This window comes from Homo sapiens, chromosome 20 (assembly GCF_000001405.40).
Source record: "Homo sapiens chromosome 20, GRCh38.p14 Primary Assembly".
Taxonomy (NCBI): Eukaryota; Metazoa; Chordata; class Mammalia; order Primates; family Hominidae; genus Homo; species Homo sapiens.
In genome coordinates, this window is record NC_000020.11 from 61408853 (window position 1) to 61432944 (window position 24092).

The 24092-nt window shown below is 50.3% G+C and overlaps 1 protein-coding gene across 3 annotated transcripts in view, besides 3 other annotated features; it reads left to right on the plus strand.

Annotated features, from left to right (window-relative positions):
* The window catches only part of CDH4 (cadherin 4), a 688357-nt gene that overhangs the window by 156592 nt on the left and 507673 nt on the right, over positions 1-24092 (plus strand). The window lies entirely within an intron of this gene.
* Positions 15623-16515: an enhancer, noted in NCBI's record as "H3K4me1 hESC enhancer chr20:59999531-60000423 (GRCh37/hg19 assembly coordinates)". NCBI's record gives its function as "activates a minimal SCP1, AML or CMV promoter by ChIP-STARR-seq in naive H9 embryonic stem cells {active_cell/tissue: H9 hESC(naive)}" and the evidence as "EXISTENCE:reporter gene assay evidence [ECO:0000049][PMID:30033119]".
* Positions 16516-17407: an enhancer, noted in NCBI's record as "H3K4me1 hESC enhancer chr20:60000424-60001315 (GRCh37/hg19 assembly coordinates)". NCBI's record gives its function as "activates a minimal SCP1, AML or CMV promoter by ChIP-STARR-seq in naive H9 embryonic stem cells {active_cell/tissue: H9 hESC(naive)}" and the evidence as "EXISTENCE:reporter gene assay evidence [ECO:0000049][PMID:30033119]".
* Positions 16948-17148: a silencer, noted in NCBI's record as "peak4295 fragment used in MPRA reporter construct". NCBI's record gives its function as "represses an SCP1 promoter by STARR-seq MPRAs in K562 erythroleukemia cells {active_cell/tissue: K562}" and the evidence as "EXISTENCE:reporter gene assay evidence [ECO:0000049][PMID:32103011]".

A 24092-nucleotide genomic window follows, 5' to 3' on the forward strand; every position in this document is an offset into this window, starting at 1 on the left:
CAGGCCCTCAGTGGTCTCCAGGATCCCAGCCAGATGGCCACGGGGTCACGGGCCCACTGGGACTGGGTCCTACACACACAGTTGTGGGCTTTTGGAGACACTGACTCTGCACAGGCTTCTCTGCTTTTCAATGTGGCGTTTAAGGTTCCGGAAACTGTGCAGTTTAGAAAACTGCTGGGCAGGTTTGTCAAAGGCAAAGCACCCTGGGCATTTTCAAGATGTTTCTGTCTTCAAAGACCCAGCTTGGGCTGGCACAGATGCCAAGGCTGCACCGGCCACTCCATCACGTGGTGGGGACAGCTCTCACATGGCTCGGCAGAGTGGCTGGGCGCCTCACCATGGGGAGCAGTGCTCCTGACCTTGAACCCTCCCCCACGTAGTGCCAGCATCAGAGCCATCAAATAAACCTCAAAGCAGCTGGGACTCAGAGAGAACTTCACTACATCCCTGGAACACTCTTTAAATAACTTCAGACTCAGCATCAAAAGGGGTTCCCTCCCTCCCCATAAGGCAATAAAATGTGTTCTTTTCAGATAAATATTTCAAGAACAGACCAACTCATCTGGATCAAATGTTACCTTTTTAAAGATGCAAATTGAAAATTAAGCATCCAACACAAGGATTCCCTGGAGCCACTGGGAAGGGCTGCATGCTCATCACACCCGGGGCCGCCTGGGCAGTCGGGACTCACCGTCGCCACCGCCCTGAGAGGTATCGCACTGTGTGCATTTCAGAATCATTTCAAAGAGGCAGTAAGGACCCCGATGCATGTCCTAAGCAGGCAGAGCCGCTGCGTGTGACACAGGTTGGTCGCAGAAATCAGTCTACAGAGATACCGGCAACTTTTCTTCTACACTGCACTTTCCTGCGGCCCTGGAATGCCATTTATTTTCTAATATTCCCAATTTGGACATTTTTAAAGAGAATCAATCAAAGCTACCAAAGAAATATGACAATAGGTAGCTAAGAATATTCAATGCTTCAGAAGCTCATCATCATAATTAACGGTTGGGGGGCTTATAGCAGCCCAGGCTTTGTGTTAAGAGATTGATCACCATCTTATTCCATCCTTGCCCAGGCCTCCTAGTCAGTGCAACTTCACCACTTCTCCCAGAGGAGAACTAGATAACTCAGAAAAGTGAAGTGGCCTGCCACAGGGTGTACAGTGCAGCTCAGTGCAGAGCGGGGATCTGAACCAACCAGTCTGAATCCTGACAACAGGCTGCTTGATCCCATGAGAATTGGCTCTTACACTGAGATGGGACAGGCTAGATGTATGGAGAAGCCTGGTGACATCTGAATGCCTTTCCTATATGTTATTAGGGAAAAGAAGAGTAACTTGTGTTCATCTATCCATCCATCCATCTACCCATCTGCCCACCCATCCATTCATCCACTCACACACGAATCCATCCATCCACTCACACATCCATCCTTCTGTTCACCTGTTCATTCCTCCCGTTAGTCTCTCCATTCTTCCATCTGTCCATCATCTTCCATTCCTCTCACTGGCCAATCTATCCATCCATTCATCCATCTGTCAATCATCCATCTACACATCCATCCATCTTCCATTCCTCCCACTGGTCCATCCATCCATCCATCCATCCATCCATCCTCTCACTTGTTAGTCCATTGACCTGTCCATCTGTTTATCCAGTCATCCATCCATTCATCCATCCATCATCTTCCATTCCTCTCACTGGTCCATCTATCCATCCATTCATCCATCTGTCAATCATCCATCTACACATCCCTCCATCTTCCATTCCTCCCACTGGTCCATCCATCCATCCATCCATCCATCCTCTCACTTGTTAGTCCATTGACCTGTCCATCTGTTTATCCAGTCATCCATCCATTCATCCATCCATCATCTTCCATTCCTCTCACTGGTCCATCTATCCATCCATTCATCCATCTGTCAGTCATCCACCCACACATTTGTCCTTCCATCCATCTTCCATTCCTCCCACTGGTCTGTCCATCCATCCATCCGTCCGTCCGTCCATCTATCCTCTCACCTGTTAGTTCACTGATCTCTCCATCTATTCATCCAGTCATCCATCCATTCATCCATCTGTCCATCATCCACCCACACATCCATCCATTCATCCATCTGTCCATCATCCACCCACACATCCATCCATTCATCCATCTTTCCATTATCCACCCACACAACCGTCCATTCATCCTCCTGTCCATCTTCCTACTTGTTAGCCCATCTATCATTTCATCTATTCTTCCAGTCATTCATCCGTCTTTCCTTCCATCCATCCATCCATCCATCCATCCATCCATCCATCCTTGCTAGATTCTAGGTATTCCATGACCAACAAGGCTAATGAGGTGCCTGCTTTCACGGGTCTAATGTTCTTACTGTTCATTCTTCACCACCCTGTACCACCATGGAAAAGGGGGAACTGTGTAGTTTCCTGACAAGGCCTTCATTACATCCCCACTGAGCATCCACCTCTGGGTTCATCTAGTATGACTCTGCTTTCAAAACTGCCTCAGTCACTCCCTCATGCAAGGAAAAGCCGCATTCATTGATGTAAAGACTGTGCCTAGATAATTGCCTTGGCAGAACCTCAAGCCAAACTCTCTCATCTTTTTTATTTTAGTTTTCAAATGGGCAGCCTTCCCACAGGGTCAAAACGGCCCAGCTTCAACCTGGGGGCTCAGCTGCTGGCTGGGCTGGGCACGTGGTGCTGTCTGCTTCAGGGATGCCACCAGCAGCAACATTCAAACATGGCCTGCCATATGCTCCATGTCTACGTTGAACAGCTCATTTTGTTCAGCTCTCTCTGATGCAGAGCAGGATTTGAGCTCAAAAAAATCAAAATGAAATGAGCAGTGCCTGCTGGGCCTGGATGGGAAGTAGTGTGGGAGGTTGGGGGTGTGTCTGGGCAGGGATATGTCAGCACTGTGGGCCGATCAGAGTGGGCAGCTGGCCGGCATGGGCACAGTGCACAGAAGCCTCCAGCCAGGCCCCGATCAGTGCCCACAGGCAGTGGGGCTGCCCTGTATCCACTCCTTAGCATGGCCCAACAGGGGACTGGGTGAGGCCAGAGAGACCAAGGCCTGATTTCAGCAGGGTGACTGTGGGCACTGGTCATGCAGAGCTGCTGCCTCATCCAGAAGGACACCCTGCCCTTGAGCCAGGATCAAGGCCGACTCTGGATGGGCAGAGCCAAGGAAGGAGGCCTCTTGGTCACTGATATGACCAACCCTCCTCTGCAGGCACCAGCCAGTTTCTGTTCTGTGGCTGCCCCTTGCCTGGTTCTTACCCAGATCATGGTGGGTAGAGCAGGGCCTCTGCCCTTCAGTCTAGTCTGTGCTAACAGACCAAAGTGAACTTCAGCAAACACTCTAGCAAGAAACTCTGGGTCCGTAGCATGAGCCCATGATGGCTGGAGCTGGCTCTCATTGACTCCCCAGAGCCGTCTGTGCAGTCCCTCCCTGACCATGGTGAGCAAGGGCATGTTGGTAGCTTGGAACTGGCCACGGTGGGAATATTTACATGATGGAAATTGGCAAATGCTATAGATCTGCCTCCTCCCCAGAGTGCCGGAGGTTACATTTATCAGCACCCCACTGGTTTGATGCCCTAAAGTCTGAATTCCTCAGCATAGCATTCAAGGTCCCTCCTGGTTTTCTTATCCAACTCACAATGGCTACAGAGAAACAGAGAGGTGGAGGAGGGATTTCTTGGCTCTTATAATTTAATTTCTAGGACATCCTGAGACATAGTTAGATCCTAGGGTGCTAACTGTGTGCTCAAGATGGGCCCAGCCCCACCTTCCAGCTCTGCCTTCTCCACGTGGTGGTCTCTGCCAGCTCCAGGTCGACTTTATTCGTGGAGTTCCCCAGAAGCTTTGGGACTGCATCTCTCCGGCCTCATGGACATCTTGTTTTTCCTTCGAACCAGTCCAATGAAATGGAATGTTCTAGATGGCCAGGCCTGGCTCATATGATCGCCCTTTAAGCAGGAGGGGCAGAGTCAGCCCCACTAAACCCCAGGGTCAAGCCCTGGGAACGGGAAGAGTGTTTCTCCAGGGAGACCCTGAGGGGCTGTTTCCAGAGGAAGGAGCCAGGCTGTGTTGATAGAACCCTGCCTAGGCTTTGCTTCTGTCCTCTGCCTCTGCGAAATAGTCCATCCCCCAAGCCACTCCTCCTTTCCATGTTCCAGGCTCTTGGTGTGGGGGGCCACCTCCCTGCAAACACCCTTCCCGGTCTTTGCATGGTTTTAAATCATCCTTCATGGCACCCAAGGCCCCCCTTCCCATCCCAGCCTCAGATCTGGAAGCTCCCCTCCCCATTCGCAGAGCTTCCCCGCCCCCCACCCCTGGCCCATGCTCCCTTTCCCTGCCTGGGTGGCCTCCTTGCCTTTCACCGCTGGCCTGGAAGTGCTTTCCAGCTGGTTGTGTTTCTCTTTGTACCTCCCACAGCTTCCAGCATGGCTTTTGGCTTTTGTCCTGGCAGTCAGGACCCTAGTGGAGGGGAGGGGTGTGTCACCAGCTTGCCCTGTTCCAAGGCTGCGTGAGTGGTTGTGGAGCCGGGCTTCTCCTCACCTTCCAAGTCAACCACTGCCTAGCTGGTGACCTGAGTCTGTAACAAGCCCCCCTGAGCCTCAGTCTCCTCATCTGTAAACTGGGGAGGTGGTGGGACTGCTGCACGGGATGGCATGCTGTGTGTCTTGTGCCTAACACACCCCCGCACAACTGCCACGCCCTGTGCGATGGCTGTTACCGCCATTATTGTGTGATTCCTGCCTGGCCATGGCCTGGCGCTGGCGGTTGGATGGGCCTTGCACATAGTAGATGCTCAGATATTCACCATGGAGTCCCCTCCTGCCAGAACTTCTCTCCCACTGGTTCTCAAGGACAGTCACTTACAAAAGCAATTTCTTGGTGGCCACAGATCTTCAGGGTCATCCCCTGTGGCCAGCTCTCATTCCCCAAGGGCAGCACTTAGTAGGGCCTTTTCAGCAGCCTCCCTATCTCCATCGTGACAAAGACCCACAGGCTGGGCAGCTTCAACATGGCTCATTTTCTTACCATTCTGGCAGCTGGAAGTCCAAGTCCACGGTGTCTGCAGGGCTGGTTTCTCCTGAGGCTTCTCTCCTTGGCTTGTGGATGCCATCTCCACCCTGTGACCTCCCAAGGTTGTGCCTCTGTGTGTGTCACTGTCCAAATTTCCTCTCCTTAAGAGGACATCAGTCCCACTACATTAGGAGCCACCCCAGTGACCCCATTTCACCTCCATTAGCTCCTTAAAGGCGCTACCGCAAATACAGTCACGTTCTGTGCTGCTGGGGGTTAAGACTCAGCATATGAATCTTGGGGAATGCAGGTTAGCCGGCTTGATGTCCCATGTAACGTGGGTTTCCCAGCGTGAATGACCCATCTCACTGGAGTGGGCAGGGCATGGCCCATGCCTGGCTCAGCCCTGATGCCTGCAGGAAGTGGGTGTCATTGGTAGAGGAATCAGAGGAATGGACTCCCCTGCATTTGGGCCACTGAGTCCTCTGCTGCTTTCACTGTGGTGTGAGGTGACTTGGAAAGGAGAGTGGAGTCAGGGAGAGCCCTGCGTGGAGGCCATTCTGAGACAGGCAGGCACCCCAGCCCTCTCCAGCTGGCTTGCTACAAATGCTTGCCGACCAGCTCCCGGCAAAGCTGACTCCTGGCATTATCACATGATTCAACTGTTCTCTGTGCGGCAATATTAATAATGCTCACTATTGTTGCAAGCACAGCAGGAAGCGGCCGTGTGATGGGGTGGTGGAGGGGGGCATTGCTATAAACAGGGGCTTGCTGGCAGAGAGCTCATCCTGTCCTTAGGGCAGAAATTAATGTCACCTCTCAGAATCAGAATTCCGATTAGAGCTGCACTCAGGAAGTCCCTCCAGATGGGAGAGGACATTGTCTGAAGTCCTTAGCAGAGCCGAGAGCTGTGTCCCTTGCAGAGCCAGCCTGCCTCCTCCCGTGGTGAGAGTGGCAGCTGGTCTGGACTCGTCCTCTTCAGTGAGATGCCTGTGAGTGCCCAGGAGGAGCTGCCCCATGCATGCAGTGGGGGTGTGCCTCTCCATGGACCGGAGGTCAGGAGGCTGATGGATGTCCTGCATCCCTCACGGTGACTCCAAAGATTCAACCAGCCGGAGGGAGGCTGGGCTTTTCCGCTAGCTGGAAATTTCAGAACCCTTGGCCCACATTCGTCAAACTGCCAGCTCAGAAGTGAGTGGTATTCAAATTCTTTTCAGTGGTGGTTCTCCAAGTGGGGTCCCCACACTAGTGGCATCGGCATTACTTTGGGAGACGTTGGGGACTCCCATTCTCTGCCCCCCTACCCCAGACCTGCCGAAGCAGGAGCTCGGGTTGAAGAACCTGCCTGTACCCCAGCCCTGTGCTGCCTTCCAGTGGAAACATGGTAGAGCCATGGAGGGATTTTAAATGTCTTAGTGGCCATGTTGAAAAAAAAGTGAAAAGAAACAGTAAAACTAATTCTTATTGTGGTGAATGTATTTACAAAATTTAACCATTTTAACCATTTTTTATGTGTACAGTCAGCGGCATTAGGTACATTCACAGAGTCATGGAAACCATGGCCACTGTCCATCTCCAGAATTTTTATATCTCTCCAACCTGAAACTCCATCCCCATTAAACACGCACTCCCAGCCGCACTCTCCCCCGCCCCTGGCCCCCACCATCCTATTGTTTATTTCTATGAATGTGACTGCCCTAGGGACCCCAAACAGGTAGAATCATACCGTATTTGTCCTTTTGCATCTAGCTGTTTTCACTTAGCATGATGTCCTTAAAGTTCACCCATGTTATAGCGAGTGTCAGAATCTCTTTTTTTTTTAGACTGAGTCTTACTCTGTCACCCAGGCCGAAGTGCAGTGGCACAATCTCAGCTCACTAAAACCTCTGTCTCCCAGGTTCAAGCAATTCTTGTGTCTTAGCCTCCCGAGTAGCTGGGATTACAGGTGTGCGCCACCATGCCTGGCTACTTGTCGTATTTTTAGTAGAGACGGGGTTTTGCCATTTTGCCCAGGTTGGACTCAAACTTCTGGCCTCAAATGATCCACCTGCCTTGGCCTCCTAAAGTGCTAGGATTACAGGCGTGAGCCACCATGCCTGGCCTCTCCTTCCTTTTTTTTTTTTTTTTTCCCCGAAACAGAGTCTTGCTCTGTCACCCAAGCTGGCACGATCTCAGCTCACTGCAACCTCTGCCCCCTGGGTTTAAGCAATTCTCCTGCCTCAGCCTTCCTAGTAGCTAGGATTACAGATGTGTGCTACCACACCTGGCTAATTTTTGTATCTTTAGTAGAGACAGGGTTTCACCATGTTGGCCAGGCTGGTCTCGAAGTCCTGACCTCATGATCCACCCACCTCGGCCTCCCAAAGTGCTGGGATTACAGGCGTGAGCCACCGGGCCCAGCTTCTCCTTCCTTTTTAAGGCTGCGTAACATTCCATCATAGGGTAGACCACATTCTGTTTATCCCCTCATTCACGAGTGAATGTTTGGCTCATTGTTTCTCACAGCTGCTGCGCAATTTACATTCCCACAGCAGTTCCCAAGGTTCCAGTTTCTCTGCATCTTCACCAATATTTGTTATTTTCTGTGTTTTGATAGTGACCATCCTAATGGGTGTGAAGTGGTATGCAATCAGTTTCGTGAACGAGTTTGTTTAACCTAGTATTGCTGGAACAGTATTATTTCAGTGTGTAAAAATACTCAGAGTATTAATCAGGTATTTTACATGGTTTTAAAATTTTTATTTTGGAGGAAGCTTTTGAAATCGGTGTGCATTAGACACTCACACCCCAGCTCTGCTCAGACCAGACCCATTGAAGGCACTTGGCACAGGCCCGCCCCTTGACGCCCTGTGGACAGCATGGCGCTGGGCGAGTCTCCCCGCAGCTCCAGAAAGGGACAGAGGACATAGCTTACCAAGTGTGATTTTAGGGCCTGCAGCTCTATTCATTTTAATGAAGGGTATCTTTTTGAGGGGGTGAAATCTTCGGACAGTTTTGTCCTGACTCACTGCCTTTGGGGAGAAGTGGATATCTGTGCTCAGACACAGAGGCTGCACATCTCGGGGGTTCTTCCAATTGCTGGTTTGAAATGACTTGGAGTGGTGGAGAGGCTGAGCTGGGGAGGTGTTTGGAAACACCAATTCAGAACACAGCAAGACTGGCGCAGCCTGGCATTACTGCTCAATAGAATAATATGTGGCCCGCAGAGCTGACTGTGGGTGCTTGGGATAAAACCCAGATTCTGTGGCCTATTTCCTTCTTCTTCAGAAAAGGACTCTGTTGGGGGCATGCAGTCCTGGTCTCCAAGAGACTCACTCTTTCTCTCTTGGTCGTGCTCTCTCTTCCCCCTCCCTCTCACTCTTTTCTCCCACTCTCCCCCTCCTCCCTCTCTGTCTTTCTCCATCTCCCTCTCCCTCCCTCTACCTCTCTTCTCTCTCCCCTCACCCCTAGCCCCTCTCTCTCCTCCCTCTCCCTGTTACCAGCAAACCTGCTGAGGTCACCTATTCCACCTTGAGCCAGCTGTGGGGTGTGGGGCCCGAGTGCCAGCTGTTTCCTCTAAAAATATCACCCACGTGAGCCAGCACCGTTGGGTCCGGAGTTGGGAGTTGGGAATCGGGCCATCGGAACATCTCCCCTTCTGGGTTGATTACTGTCAACAACTGTCATCCCTCCCTGGCCCTGTTTCTGGCTGGAATGCATTTCTGTATCGCTATCTAGCAGGGCTGTAAATTGGCAGCGTGGATTGGGGAGCAAATTTCTAGCCGCTTCCCTCTCAGAACATGCATTTCTCCTGACTTGTATTACTCATTTTACGGCTGGAGACAGGTGCACATGGCGGGAAGTGGGCACAGGAGCCTTGACCTGACAAGGTCCTCGAGGCCAGGCGAGGTCTCAGGAAGTCTGAGTTTGGAAGGCGCCGCCAGAGACTGCACTTCAGTGTACTGTGGTCCTGGGCCAAGGGGCCAGGCCAGGAGCAGCAGGGCCCTTCATGCTCAGAGGCCCACTTGGAAGAGATGGAGCCTCCCATCCCTTGAGTTTTCTGAGGGGTGCACATGTTCTGTTTTAGGGGGATGCTGCATTCGAGGCACAGAGAAGCCACCTGCTTCCTTAGACAGATCACAAGCAGAAGTCTCACCTGCCTTTGCTCTTTTGCTGTTAAATGGCAAATGCTGATTAAATGGCAAATGCTGATCAAGAAAGTAAAGGTGTCCATTGGCTTTGTGCTGGCCCTTTGGTCTCAAGAGACAGAGAAGACAGATGAAAGTGAAAGATGAGTTTGCAAGCTTCAGCCCAAACTTTTTTCTTTTTTTTCTTTTTTTTTTTTTTTCCCTGAGACAGAGTCTCGCTCTGTCCCCCAGGCTGGACTGCAGTGGCACCATCTCGGCTCACTGCAAGCTCCGCCTCCCGGGTTCACACCATTCTCCTGCCTCAGCCTCCTGAGTAGCTGGGACTACAGGCTCCCGCCACCACACCTGGCTAATTTTTTGTATTTTTTAGTAGAGACGGGATTTCACCATGTTAGCCAGGATGGTCTCGATCTCCTGACCTCATGATCTGCCCGCCTCAGCCTCCCAAAGTGCTGGGATTACAGGCTTGAGCCACCGCGCCTGGCCAAACTTTTTTGACTAAGTGAGGTTATTGTGTGAGCTGGTTTTCCTCCCCAAACCTCTGATTTCCTATCTATCAGATGGGCTGATAATGGCACTTGCTCTACAGCCCAGTGAAATCGCGTGTGGAGGAGTTAGTGTCCTGGAGGGTGCTGTTACAAAGCGCCGTCAGTTGGGCAACTTAAGACAACAGCAGTTTATTCTTTTAGGGGTCTGGAGGCCGGAAGCCTGAGATGGAGGTATGGACAGGGCTGGTTCCTTCAGGGGCTCCGAGGGAGGATTGCTTGAGCCCAGGATGTCCAGGCTGCAGTGAGCTGTGATTATATGGCAGCACCCCCACACCCCCGCATCCCTCTCCCGGCTTCTGGTGGCTGCCAGAGACAGCCCTTGATGTTCCTTGGCTTGTGGCCACATCACTCCAATCTCTGCCTTGGCCCTCATACCACTTTTTCTGTGTGTCTGTGACTTCTCTTGTCATTGGATTTAGGACCTACCCTCATCCAGGTTAGCCTCAGCAAAGACGTTTTTTCCAGATAAGATTGCACACACCGGGTCCAGGTGTACATATCTTTCTGGGGGCCACTGTTCAACCATGACAGTGGGTCAGTGTTTTGTCCATGGAGAAAGGCCTCGCAGGGTTTGGTGGGACTGCTGGTTATGGGGGTGGGGCTCACTGCAGACGTGTCCTGAGCCCGAGATCACTCGTTCCCCGCAGCAGGTGCAGCTGAGAGCAGAGGCGGCCGCTTTGCCCAGGGCGGTGCTTTTGGTTCTTGTCTCTGCTCATCAGTTTCTATCGTACCCCGACAAATACATCCCCTCCCATCACGGCTGTTTCTGGGGACTATAAGGATCTTTCTGCCACTGCTAATCCTTACAGCTTAGGCAAGTTCGTGGTGCCTCAGAGATGAAACCTGAGAGATGTAAAAACTCCCTTCCTTGGAAGTTCTAAAAGACACATTAGGATGAAAGAGGGATTTCAAACTCTACATCCTGGGGTAGCTTTCCAGTCGGCTGGTGCACAGAGCTAGGAGAGGGGATCGTTTGGCTTCCAGGCCAGCCACAGCGGAGTTTCCACCAGGAAGGTTCTGGCCCTGTCTGCCTCCCCAGCTCCCTCCCCACCCTCCCCTCTTCTGCAGTCCTAGTTGCCTCTCTCTTCCCCCAAAGCCAAGGCCACCCCGCTCCAGGCATGGCCCATGCTGTCCCTTCTGCTGAGTATACACCCCATTCCCTGTGTCTGGCCAATTCCATCTAACCCTCAGGCCTCAGCTTAAGCCTTCCACCCCGGAGAGGCCATCTGGACAGCCCCGTGGCTGGCACATCCCCCTGCTGTGTTCTCCTAAGTACACATGTGTGCTCCCTCACAGCCATCATCAGAATTGAAATTATACAAACATTGGCATCATTCAGTCGGTGATCATCCTGAGGGCAGCTTCATGAAAAGCACCCAGCACACAGTAGGTGTCTGTTGAATGCACTATTTGCAAAGCCTGTGCATTCTCATTGAATTCCAGCCACAGCCCTCTTAGTGGGAGTTGTACCAAGAGCATAGAGAGGTGAAGGGACCCCCTGATGATGCCAGGCCTGCGAAGGGGCACTAGGCACTCACCTGGAGAGTGACTGCAAATCTGGGCTCTTACAAGTGGTCTCCAGCCACTGTCCCTCAGGAGTGTGAGCAGCTGCAGGAATCCTCTGCCCCGAGAGCAAGCCTCCCTCTGCAGGCAGCTCCTCCTGCTGTGCGGGGAAACGCAGGGAGAGGGAGCGGGTCAGCACCGGGGCCTGGAAAGGGCTGAAAGAACTGGAGGAGGGACCACTCAGGGGTGCTCCTTGCTCTGGAAGGCATTGATCTTGCCACTAAAGGCCATGGAATGAAAGGGTGCAGGAAGGAAAGATGCCATCTCCAGCCAGAGGCTTCCAAGTGCAGTGCTCCCCTCCCCACAGGGTCCCCAGGGGTGGGAAGATCTCACCACAATTTCTATTGACTGTGACTTTGTCGCCACTGAAAACAAAATAAGCAGGCCCAGCCATTCTGGGAAACCATGTGGCAGTGTCCAGTAAAGCTGAGCGTGTGTATTTCCAGGGATCCAGCAACTCTCTTCCTCACAAGACCTAACAGAAACCCATGCCCAGGTGCAGCCAAAGCCGTGCTCTGGAAGGTTCATAGCAGCACTCCTCCTAACAGTCCAAAGTTGGGAGTGAGCCAGGTGCCCATGCACAGTGCACTAGTGAATAGGGTGTGGCATGTCCCACAGGGGAATAAGGTCAGGAGTGACCCAGGTGCCCATGCACAGAGCACTGGTGAACAGAGTGTGGCATGTCCCACGGGGGATGATAGGACAGGGGTGGCCCAGGTGTCCACGCACAGTGCACTGGTAAATGGAGTGTGGCATGTCCCACGGGGGACGATAGGACAGGGGTGACCCAGGTATCCACACACAGTGCACTGGCAAACAGAGTGTGGCATGTTCCATGGGGGATGATAGGACAGTGACGGCAAGGCCTGCCAGCCATGTGGATGGGTCTCAGACGTGCTGTGGAATATGAGTGGCAGCTTCCATATGTTACTCATTTCTATGGAGCTAAAGACAGGGAGGGGCAGCTGGTCCTTGCAATGGGAGCCCTTACAGCCCTTTTCCGTGGGGACCCTGGCTGGGAGGGGACACAAGGTAGGCTCCTGGGGCCGATGTCTTCCCCTTGGCTGGCTGGTGGCTGCATGGCAGCGTGCATTTGTAAGAGTCCCTCACTCAGAGTAGATTCTTTCCTCCATGTGCACAACACTTCAATTTCAGAAAAGCACTGAGGGGTCTTTATTCCATTCCATAACAGGAGGAGATGTCATAATCCTGGACAGAATGGAAGCTACCGAAAGGGACTCACGTGAAGTGCATAGACGTAATTTTGATCAAAAGAAGTTAGGCAGAAAAGGAAGCTTTCTGGATGCTTTCATTGATAGGAAATGCAAAACAGTCAAACTCATCTCCGCTATCCAAAGCCAGGGTGGAGGTTGCGTTTCAGGATGGAGGGTGTTTCATGGCTGAACGGAATCAAGGGGCCTTCTGGGGTGCAGCTTGCACAGAGCCCCCTTGTGAAAATCCATGTGCAGCTCTACACTTAAGATGTGCATGTTTTCTCTGGAGATGTTATACTTCAAAAAAAAAGGAGGAACTGTGCTTCCTTGACATTTATGACACAGGTGGATGTGAGTCTTCTCCCCCTGCCGGGGTTCTGGTGCCGGGATGTGAGGGGCAGGGCATGTGCAGAAAGCAGTGGCCCCCATCATTTGTCCAGCGCTGGCTGATGGAGGCCCACTGGGTGTGCACTAGGGTAAGTGGATTTATGAATAGTATCGAGTTCTAACTCAACCCATGCTCATGGACTAAACCAAGCAGCTTTAACACAGCCCTGCAAGGAAACCGCAGCCTGGAGACCTTCCTCACCACGCAAGCCTTGAGCAGTGTGGGGCTGACACACATTCCTCACAGGCCGCGGCTATCACCAGCCACAGTCAGAGGCTCAAAACCAAACAAAAACTTATGATCCGATCACATCTGGAAGATGTCAGCCCCAAACGTGTGAAGTTACCAAGATGACTTTTTGAACGTATATCTATGCATTCCACTGCATTGTCATTAAAGACAAATCTCACTGGGCACGGTGGCTCACGCCTGTAATCCCAGCACTTTGGGAGGCCGAGGTGGGTGGATCACCTGAGGTCGGGAGTTCATGACCCCTGACTAACATGGAGAAACCTAATCTCTACTAAAAATACAAAATTAGCCAGGCGTGGTAGTGCATGCCTGTAATCCCAGCTACTCGGGGGGCTGAAGCAGGAGAATCGCTTGAACCCGGGTGGCAGAGGTTGCAGTGAGCCGAGATCGTGCTATTGCACTCCAGCCTGGGCAATAAGAGCAAAACTCCGTCTCAAAAAAAAAAAAAAAAAAAAAAAAAAAAAAAAAAAAAAAAAAACCAAATCTCCCCAAGTGTCTTCTTTAAGTATTTATTTACCAGTGGAGGGTTCAGAGCAGCAGTAAATACATTTATAAACATATGAATATTTTTATACTAAGGGTGCATGCCAGAAATTCTCTTCTCTCCGTGGTGTACATGAGCACAGAGTTCAGAGCGCAACCATGCAGGAGAACTTACGGATCTGGCTCCGAATTCTAAATTAGGACAAGATGCAATTGCTGAGCACCTCAGCTGCAGAAGGGGCCTCATCTGGCCTCAGGAGGCTTCTGAGAGTTCCTGTTCTTGGCCACCTTGCACCTGCTTGCTCAGAGCTTCCTGGGCATGTGGGTGTGTCATGTGTCTTGGGAGAATCACCTGATTCCCCTTCCTGGGCTCAGCAGCCTCAGTGCTTCTCCTGCTGCTGGGAAGCCCCGCCCTCTTGTCAGGTGTCAGGTGTCAATCAGGATTCCATCTGGGAAAAAACCCATGCGATAAGGGATTTTTTATTGGGCTTAAAACCTTACACGGTGTGGGAGAAGCTGAGGAGGTAAGATTTGGAGAGGTCAGAAGGTCAGAGAAAAGTCGCAAACAGGATGGCTGAGTGGACGTGGTAGAGAAATGCCTGGATGCTGTGGCCCTGCTGCACGTGGTGTACCTCGGGGCAGGGCAGAGAGCTGGGGAGGGATGCTGGAAGCACAATGGGGGAAGCAAGGACCCCCAGACCCACGAGGATGGGACAGACCCAGCATCTGCCTTGCACACATCAGTGATGACCTGCAAGTGAAGCTGGCAGGAGGTGGAGGAGCTGTGGGCGGTACTGGTGAGCCCGCAGGGCAGGCAGGTGTCCTGAGCTGTTCCAGTGCCCCGGGTGTGCACTCACCTCACAGATGCAGAGGCCACTGCCTCATGTTTCTTTCTAAATATCATGTCCCCCTCATTGCCAACCCTGACCCAGACCTGTATGGGCAAGACATGTCTTTCATCCTAGCTGAATTGACACATTGCAAAACTATCCCAGAGTCCAAAACAGAGACTCAATATGGTAGAGACCCCTATCTCCATTTCTTTAGTTCTGGTGTGGTTGAATATTGCAAACGCACTCGGATGAACTTAGCATTGACTTTTGGATGGCGTTTTGAGAAATTGCATTTATAGCAGCAATGGCTTGGGATTTTTTTTGTTCATGACTGTATTGCGTCCCTTCTTTTACTTGGCAGGTACGTTCGTCATTTTTTTTTCATTTTGAGATCTACACACTTAAATCCTTTGATTTCTGCATCATTAATAACACTTCCTCAGGTCCTAATGAAAGGCGTCTTGCCTCTCTCAGCATCCGAGCAAGCAGTTCTAAGTGGATGGTCCCGTCGCAATCAGGCCAAGCTTCTTCAGTGGCTTCTAAAGCCTTTCCTCGCCTGGCCTCTGGCGGCATCCTCAGCCTCATACCTTGTCACTCCCTGTGCGCACACATGCAGGCTGTGCACATGCTCCTGTACACAGGCACATGCCCACACCTACAAATGAACACGTGTGCATGGGCATGTGCACACAGCACACATATATTCACACACACAGTATCCACACACTCTCATATCCACACACTCATATATACATACACATCCACACACAGCACACACGTATACACACGTATACACACATATACACACATAGCACACATGTATCCACACACAGCACACATGTATACACACATATCCACACATATGTATCCACACATAGCACACATGTATCCACACGCATCCACACACAGCACACATGTATATACACATATCCACATGTATCCACACACATATATCCACACACATCCACATACAACACACATGTATCCAAACACACTCATATCCACACACATCCACATACAACACACATGTATCCAAACACACTCATATCCACACACATATCCACAAACATGTATCCACACACATATCCACACACAGCACACATGTATCCACACACAGCACACCCTTATACACATGTATCCCCATACAGCACACATGTATATATGCATATCCACACATAGCACACACATACATGTGTCCACACACAGCACACACATATTCACAGACGCACAGGCCCTGTAGACCCTCCACTGCAGCCACTGATGTGGTCCTCCCATGGCCCTTGTCTCCTCCTGGGTCTCTATAGAGGCCACTCCTAGGCCAGGGATGTCCCCTGTCACCCACTCTTCCCCTGTTTTCACTCTGGCCAGCTCCAGCTCATCACCCTCCAGATTTCAGCTTCAGTCCCTCTCTTTTGACCGTGTCTCCCTGACTCCCATTGTTTAGGGAGAGTGTCATCCTGACACAGGCCTCAGTCATCCCTGTGCTGTGGGCATTTGCCCCGCCTGTTTCCCATCCAGTGCCCCCCACAGAGCAAGGCTTGGAATCCACTTCTGGCTGTGACAGCACAGTGCCCCACATGCTCTTGAAGATGGGAAAGGCATAAGCCTGTGCCGCGTGGTCCATCCGGAGCCAAATTTAAAAAACTGGACCCACCACGTGCAGCTTTGTGGGCCTCACGCAGAGGAGGAGCCTACAGCCTCCTAGCCGGTGCTGGCTCGTCCAGGAAAGGTTGCTGAGCCCCAGCTCTGTGCCAGGCATAGGTGGACCAGGAGCAGCAGGTCACTGCTCTGGTGAAGGATCCCCAAGACCGCCTGTGTGGCTCCGCGAGCGCCTTGAATCACAGCTCAGGACCGTGGGCCCCATGGTGCAGAGCTGCCTGCAGAGCTAGGTCCAGCCCGGCCCAGAGGCATGGCCAACCCTCACCCTGAGCAGGGCGGGCACCACAGAAGGCTCCGGGAACAGGAGCAGGGAGGGAGGCGGCCAGGACCGGAGAGCAGTGGCACCCTGAACCTGGAGCCACCCTCGACACTAGGACGTTCAGTGTGGAAGCGAGCCGGCCAAGGGAGAGCCAGGACAGAGGCAGCGGTGGAGGGGCGGGCCTTCAGGGTGGGACAGCTGGGACTGGCTCCTGTCTGAAAGGGGGGCTGGGGAGGTGAAGGAAACCCCATGTCTCCAGCCTGGACCCCTGAGCAGGACGTGGGCTCTGAGGTCGAGCCTAGGAGAAGGACAGTGGGCAGGGCAGACGCTGCTGTGATTATCCGTGAGATAAGGCACAGAGCACATCCCGCAGGAGGGGCAGAGCCCAGGGAAAACAGGGCGGCAGCGCACAGAAACCCGGGTGACGGCGCAGCCTGGACAGGACATTCTCGAGGGCCCTGCCCAGGGCAGGATGGCCAATTGCAGGACATTCTCAAAGGCCCCGCCCAGGGCAGAATGGCCAATTGCAGGACGTTCTCGAGGGCCCCGCCCAGGGCAGGATGGCCAATTGCAGGACATTCTCAAAGGCCCCGCCCAGGGCAGGATGGCCAATTGCAGTACATTCTCAAAGGCCCCGCCCAGGGCAGAATGGCCAATTGCAGGACGTTCTCGAGGGCCCCGCCCAGGGCAGGATGGCCAATTGCAGGAGGTGCTGATGTCCTCAGATCATCTGAAAACTGAGGCATGTGATCTTGTGTTTCTTAAGTCAGGGCAGTTCACATGCAACAAATAGTTACCAAGGCTGACCTCTCTGGTGAGACCACGGGGAGATTTGACTCCTTACTAACTCATTGCAGTTAAAAAATATATTAAGAGGTATTAATTTTATGAAAAAAGCAATAAAAGAAATAGAAGAGGCCAGAAGAGTATGTGATGTATTCAATGGGGGTTTCTAGTTGTTTTGTTTCTTTTTCATCTGAGAGTTAAAGGAATCATCTCATTTTTTGACGCAGCCAGGTGCTTTAATCTAGCTGATAAAAATTTTGCTTGGAAAAACACTCTGGCTTAATATATTAAGGATGGGAAATATAGGAAGATGCAGGTACCTATAATGAATAATGCTCACACCTGAAAAATGCCGTGTCTAACTCATAGGCACTGCATTCGGGTGGCTCCAGTACAGCAAGGACATCATGTGGGTGGAGGGTGTGTGGCAAGGGATAGGGGTGTCCTGTGTGGAGGGCTGTAGGTAGACTCTGGGTGACTTGCTCAGTTCTGAGCTTCAGCAACTGCAGAAGACGGTCTGCCTGTTTGCTAATCCCTTCCCCGTCACCTGCCTTTCCGCTGTATGTGTGAGTGACTCATAGCTCCCAATTATGATTGTCACGGAAATTCTGCATCAGAATATGGTTGTGCAGTGCAGGCTTGGCCATTCCCAATTTTTTGAGATTGCAGCATTGCCTTCTTATCAAAGTGACCTGAGCTGTTGACACCAGCGAAGGTGGAGGGAGGGCTTTGGCCCCGCAAATTCCTGCAGGGAATCGAGGCAGAAGCATGGATGCTTTCTTCATAGACCTTGTCTTGGGAGTAGGGTATATGCAGAAGTGTGTTCAGATGTCGAGGATTTCAAAATGAAGATGTTCTTCTAGATAAAAATCTTGGCTTATGGCCTATTGTGTTAAACCAGCTGTATAGTCCTGGGCTAATTGTTAGTAATTTTTTGTGATTGGGTACTGTGTTCCAGGCAAGTGATGTTTCTCTTTAGTAATGTTCATGTCACTCATTTATGACTGAAGTGAGAGTTGTATGTACAACAGCAGCTCCAAGACTAACTAGGGAGGAGAAAAATCAGGAAAGTAAATACATCACAGGCTGACATCTTTGGAACAAATAATTAAGACAACCTTGAACCCAGTTGCACAGCTTCCTGCCGCATTTGCAGAGACCGTTGAGCCCTTCCTCACGGTTCCACATTCCCAGCGTTGCAGAGAGGACCTGTGCCCTGTGTGTGCAGGGAGCTGACCCTGCTCTGACCTTTACTGTCTCTTTTGCACAGCCTGCCTGATTGGGAACCCCTGGCCCATTTCTCCGTGGGCCAAGGTGGAAGATGATGTGTCTCTTCTCCCAGCACAGGCACTGCCAAAGGCCAGAGGCATTAGCAATTTTTCTGCAGGGGTTTTTAGAGGCTGTGGCATGAAATCAGAACGTCGTCTTCCCTGATTCTGGATCTGTGTGCCATCCTGCATTCATCAAAACTGTTTCCCAACTGAGAGGCTTTTTTTTTCTTTTTTTGGACCACCTGGCAGCTCCAGCCTATCTAGCATCATCTTTCATCCCTGCACTGTCTACCTCCTGACATATTATTTTGCACATTTCCAAGCTGCTCCTTCCAGTTTCCTGAGCAGGATTCTCTACTTGGAACTTCTGGGGTGTGCAGCCTATACTCTGTCTTCTGCCTGGAATGCCAGCTCCAGACCCCCAATTTCGTGACAGGCAAATGTCTACCCACGCATTATTTGTCTCTGTGCAAGCAGTTGTCTCCCCACCCTTCCCTCACTGCAGGCAGGCAGTGCATACCTAGCTCCAAGGACCTCCAGTTACCATATGGTAGAGTGGCTGGTATCCAACCAAGTCACCGAGAATCAAATGCTGTATTAGATAGGACAGAGGCGGGGAGAGAAGGAGGAAGGCAGGAGAAAGAGAGGGAAAGACTTTGATAGCATCAGAAAACAACCAAACCAGCTGGAGAAGTCAAAATCCCAGAGAAAAGAGAACTACTGAGGAGTGAATGAAGATGGTGCATGGTATTCCCCCAGACCTTGCTCACTCCTAGGTCGCACCCTTTCCGAGTCATAGACAGAGACCCCCAGCAGGAAGCAGCTGCTGAAAAGTGGGGCCAGGTAGGAATTCCTTCTGCTTCTGGGATTCTTAACTTGGGACGGTGAGTTCATTCAAAGCCTATCTAAAGGCAAAAATCAGACACTACCAAGTGTCGACAGAAACATGCAGCACCTGGAATCCTGACATACAGCAGGTGGTGTGGGAACTAGTCTGTCTTTTGGGAGAATCATTGCTTCTAAAGCTGAATATATGCATATCCTATGCCCCAGAAATTCTACTCATGGATGTCTCCCTAACAGGGATACAGAGATTCTACTCGTGGATGTCTCCCTAACAGATGTGTGTGCACCAGAAGACAAACACAAGAATGTTTACGGCAACATCATTTGTTATGTCCCCAAGCCAGAAAGCATCTGGCTTAATGGGTGGTAGATTCATCAATTGGACAAGGAGTAGAATAGGAGAAAGACACTGTGGGCAATTCATACTCCTAGCATGGAATACTATGCAGTGTTCAATAAGAACAAACCACTGCCCTTTACCACGCGGACCACAGGTGTGCTGATGATAGGAGGCAGAGTGGAAGGTGCCGGGATGGGCGTCCAGGACTTCTGTGGTCCATGTGATGTTCTCTTCTCGATCTGGATGCTGGTAACATGGTGTGTTTGTCACTTTGAAAATCCATCTGGCCATGCATCATGATTTTATCATATGTATATGTATACTTTAATATAGATTTTAACTAAGTCGATGGGGAGAGAGAGATAGTGAGAGAGAGTGAGCGAGAGCAGGCGAGCTTTCCAGCTATGTTCCAGGGAAAATTGTGCACAGACTGAGAGCCATTTCTCCCATGTTCACAGTGCATATGTCTCCCTCTGCCCCTTCTATAGAGGTTAGTAATTGTATTGTATTAGTTTGCCTTAGTTATCTAACTATATTGTATTAGTCCAGAACCTACTTTCTAGACTATAGAAAGATGTTAACGAAGATGACGGTAACTTATGTTACCGTCATAAGTTACGATAGCTTACCTATGACGGTAAGCTTATATAATGACAGCTTATATTTAAATGCTCACTTTTCTCAGATACTGTTCTAAGTGCTCAGTAAAAATTAAGTCATTTTATCTTTATAACCAACCCTTGAGGTAGGGACCACCTTTATATCCATCTCACAGATCAGACACATTTGAAACTTCGAAAATTTATTCAACGTACCTAAATCCATGCAGCTGGTGAAAGGCAGAGGCAGCATCCCACATTCAGCAGGCAGCCTCCAGAGCCTACACATGCCCTGGCCATCAGGCTCTTTTTCCTAGCCTAGTGATTAGGTTCCAGTTTATAGCAAATCGTATGCCAGATACTATAGAGAGCGCAACACCCAGTGAGGTCTCTCATCTCTGTATCTCCAGTACAGGGCAGCAAATTAATGCCTGGTGTGTGTTGAATAAATGGATAGGTAGATGGGTGGGTGTGTGAGTGGATGGATGGATGGGTGGATGGATAGGTGGACAGATGGGTGGGTGGGTGGATAGATGGATGGATTGGTGGGTGGGTGGATGTGTGGGTGGATAGATGGGTGGGTATCTGGATGGATGGGTGGGTGGATGGATGGGTGGATAGATGGGTGGATGGATGGGTGGATAGATGGGTGGATGGGTGCATGAATAGATGGATGGATGGATAGGTGTGTGGATGGATGGATGGATGGATGGATGGATGGGTGGGTGGAAAGATGGATAGGTAGATGGTTGGGTGGATGGATGAGTGAATGGATAGATGGGTGGATGGGTGGGTAGGATTTTCAAAAAGCGCTACATCTGTAGCCTTCCTCTGGCTGGATCTGCAGGTAAGGAATTCCCTGAGAAAGGCGTCAAAATTTCAGGCATATTTGTGTGCCGAGCATGGCTTGGAGCCATGCTTCTCACCTGGAGATGCCCTTAAAACAGATTCCTTGGCCCAGCCGCAGAGATTCTGAGTCAGCAGATTTCCCATGGATCTGGACACCCTGAATTTCCAGCAAGCTCCCAGGGGATGCCCCTATACTTATCTGTGGACCACAACAGAGAGGCAAAGACATAAAGCTCTCCAGTGCCTTTGGTGCCATCTCTCTTGCAACAACAGTCAGTAATGTTTCCCTTAACCCTCTGTTAATTGGACTAAGCAGAGATAATGAAAGAATGATTTTTAGGGCATGCCTTCAGGGCCCTGCAGAGTGGGTGTGCGCTTGCAGAGAAGGGGGCGATATGTTTTTTCAGCAACCTCCCCCACACCTGAGTCTGCACTCAGCTTTGACGCCCGGCTCATCAGTGTGCCAGGCGGCCTTCTGCCTCCAGGCCATTTATAGTGCAGAAGCTTGTGAAGCCAAAACAGTTTGATGTGTAATTGCAGGAGGAAATGGGAAACCTGCTGAGCGTGGCAGGATATAGTGCCTTATCACCCTTTATGTGCAGCCACTGCTTGCTGGAATTGCCAGCAGATCCACACCATCGACAGAACGGTGACATTTTTCATGGGCCGCCGTGTTCTGAATCAACACTGCAATGGTGCGATTAGAGGAGGTAAAGGAAGGAAACAATCCCAGCCTCGCCGGTGACAGATCAGTCGCCAGTCCTGCTTCCCTCCTTATTACCTGCTGTCTTGTGTGATATGCAAAGCAGCTGCTCCACACGCATTACACCTTCACATTAACCGAAAATTGAATTTTATTTGGTAGCCTGCATATCATTTATAATACTCCTCCCATACACTTCAGCTCTCATTTGGCTAAAAGTGTATTCTTTACTTCCTACTGGCCAAGAAACAGAGAAAGGAGCCTGTGTGTCCATTGGTGCCTGCAGCCCCCAGGCTTCAGGGTTCCTGTGGAACAGGGTGTCATCGGCAAGAATTGAAAAGCATTTCCCTGTCTCCAAAATGCCCCAGACGCCTCCTTCCCGAGGGGCCACATGCTGCCATCAGCCTCGATCCAGAGACTGTGTTGCTGTGTGTTTCTTTGCTTGGCTGTAGCATGCTGGCTCTGTGTATGCAAAGAAACACAGCGCAGCACGCACAGATCCACCCAAGGAATTCCCACTCCAGGGGAAGCACGTGGGTAGAGGATCAGGTGGATTTTAACTTTAAAACTTATCATAATAGTTATCTTCTAAAAAGCAAACAAGACAAAACCCTGCCTCTCCCCACTATTTCAAATCTTAAATTACTATGCAAGGAAGTTTTATTTGTCAAATCTTGGCTACTGAAGTTCCAGCGTAGGAGAAAATCTTGCTTGGCCAAAATTACTCTCTTTTTTTTGTTGGTTTTTTTTTTTTTTTTTTGAGACAGGGTCTTGCTATGTTGCCCAGGCTGGAGTGTAGTTTTGCAATCATGGCTCACTGCAGCCTCGACCTCCCAGTTTCAAGTGATCCTCCCACCTCAGCCTCCTGAGTAGCTGGTACTACGAGTGCATGCCACCACGCCTGGGTAATTTTTGTATTTTTTGTAGAGACAGGGTTTCACCATGTTGCCCAGGCTGGTCTCAAACTCCTGGACTCAAGTGATCCACCTGCCTTGGTCTCCTAAAATGTTGGGACTATAGGAGTGAACAGCCATGCCTGGCCAAAGTTACTCTTTTTAATCAAGGTTTTAAGTGTACACTTTCATGAATTTTGACATATGAAAACATGAAACCACCACCATAATCAAGGTAGGGCATTTCCATTCCTCCCAAAAGTTCACTTTGCCCCTTGGACAGTCTCTCCTCCCCTCCCCCATCCCCTGGCAACCGGCTTATGGAACCCATCATTAAGACCAGCTGGCATCTTCTGCAGTTTTATGTAAATGGGGTAGTAGGGAATATACTTTTTTGTGCCGGCTTCTTGCACCGATACATGGATGTCAGCTTGATGACTTGAGCTCTGTCCGCGTCATTGTGCGTGTGTGCCCCTTCTAATGCCAAGCAGCACTCCAGTTATGGAGCACACATTCTCTGTATCCGTTCCCCTTCTGATGTGCACTCTGAGCTGTTTCTTTGTTTTTGTACTGTGAATAAAGCTGCTGTCCACATTCTTATATGAGTCCTTTATGGTTCCACCTACCTGGGGTAAATGCTATGAAGGGAGTAGCTAGGCTATATAGTAGAGAAGTGTTTAACTTTTTAAGAAGTTGCTCAGTAGCCTTCCAAAGTGGTTGAACCATTTTACATTCTCACAAACAGTGTGTGTGGCTCCAGTTCCTCCACATCCTAAGCCACACTCAGTGAGGTCAGTTCTTTAAATTATGGCCATTCTAGTGAGTGGGGCTTCATTCTAATCTCGCTGTAGTTTAATTTTCACTTCCCTGGATACTGACAATATTAGGCATATTTTCACGTTCTCCTTGATCATCTCATGCATCTTCTTTTGTGGAGTGTCTGTTTCCATCATTTAACCATTATTCAATTGTATATCTTCTTCTTGTTGGGTTGTAAACGTTTGTTTATATATTCTAGATATAATTTTTGCCAGATATACACAGCATATTGAAAGTGCATGTGTGTATGTATGTATATGTATGTGTGTGTATATATATATATTTCAATATACATATTTGCCATTCTGTAGTTTGTTTCTTGGGAGTGTTTTCAAAGAGCAAAAGTTATAACTTGGATAGAAACCAGCATATCAAGTTTTTCCTTTTGTGGTTCATACTTCCCATGTTCTATCTATAGGAAAACTTTTCCTACCTCAAAGTCACCTCATGTTTTCTCCTATGTTTTCTTCTGTACCCTTTCTAGTTCTACATTTAAATCCATGATTTTTTTTTTTTTTTTTTTTTTGGAGACAGAGTCTTGCTCTGTTGCCCAGGCTAGAGTGCAATGGTGTGATCTCGGATCACTGCAGCCTCTGCCTCCCGGGTTCCAGCAAT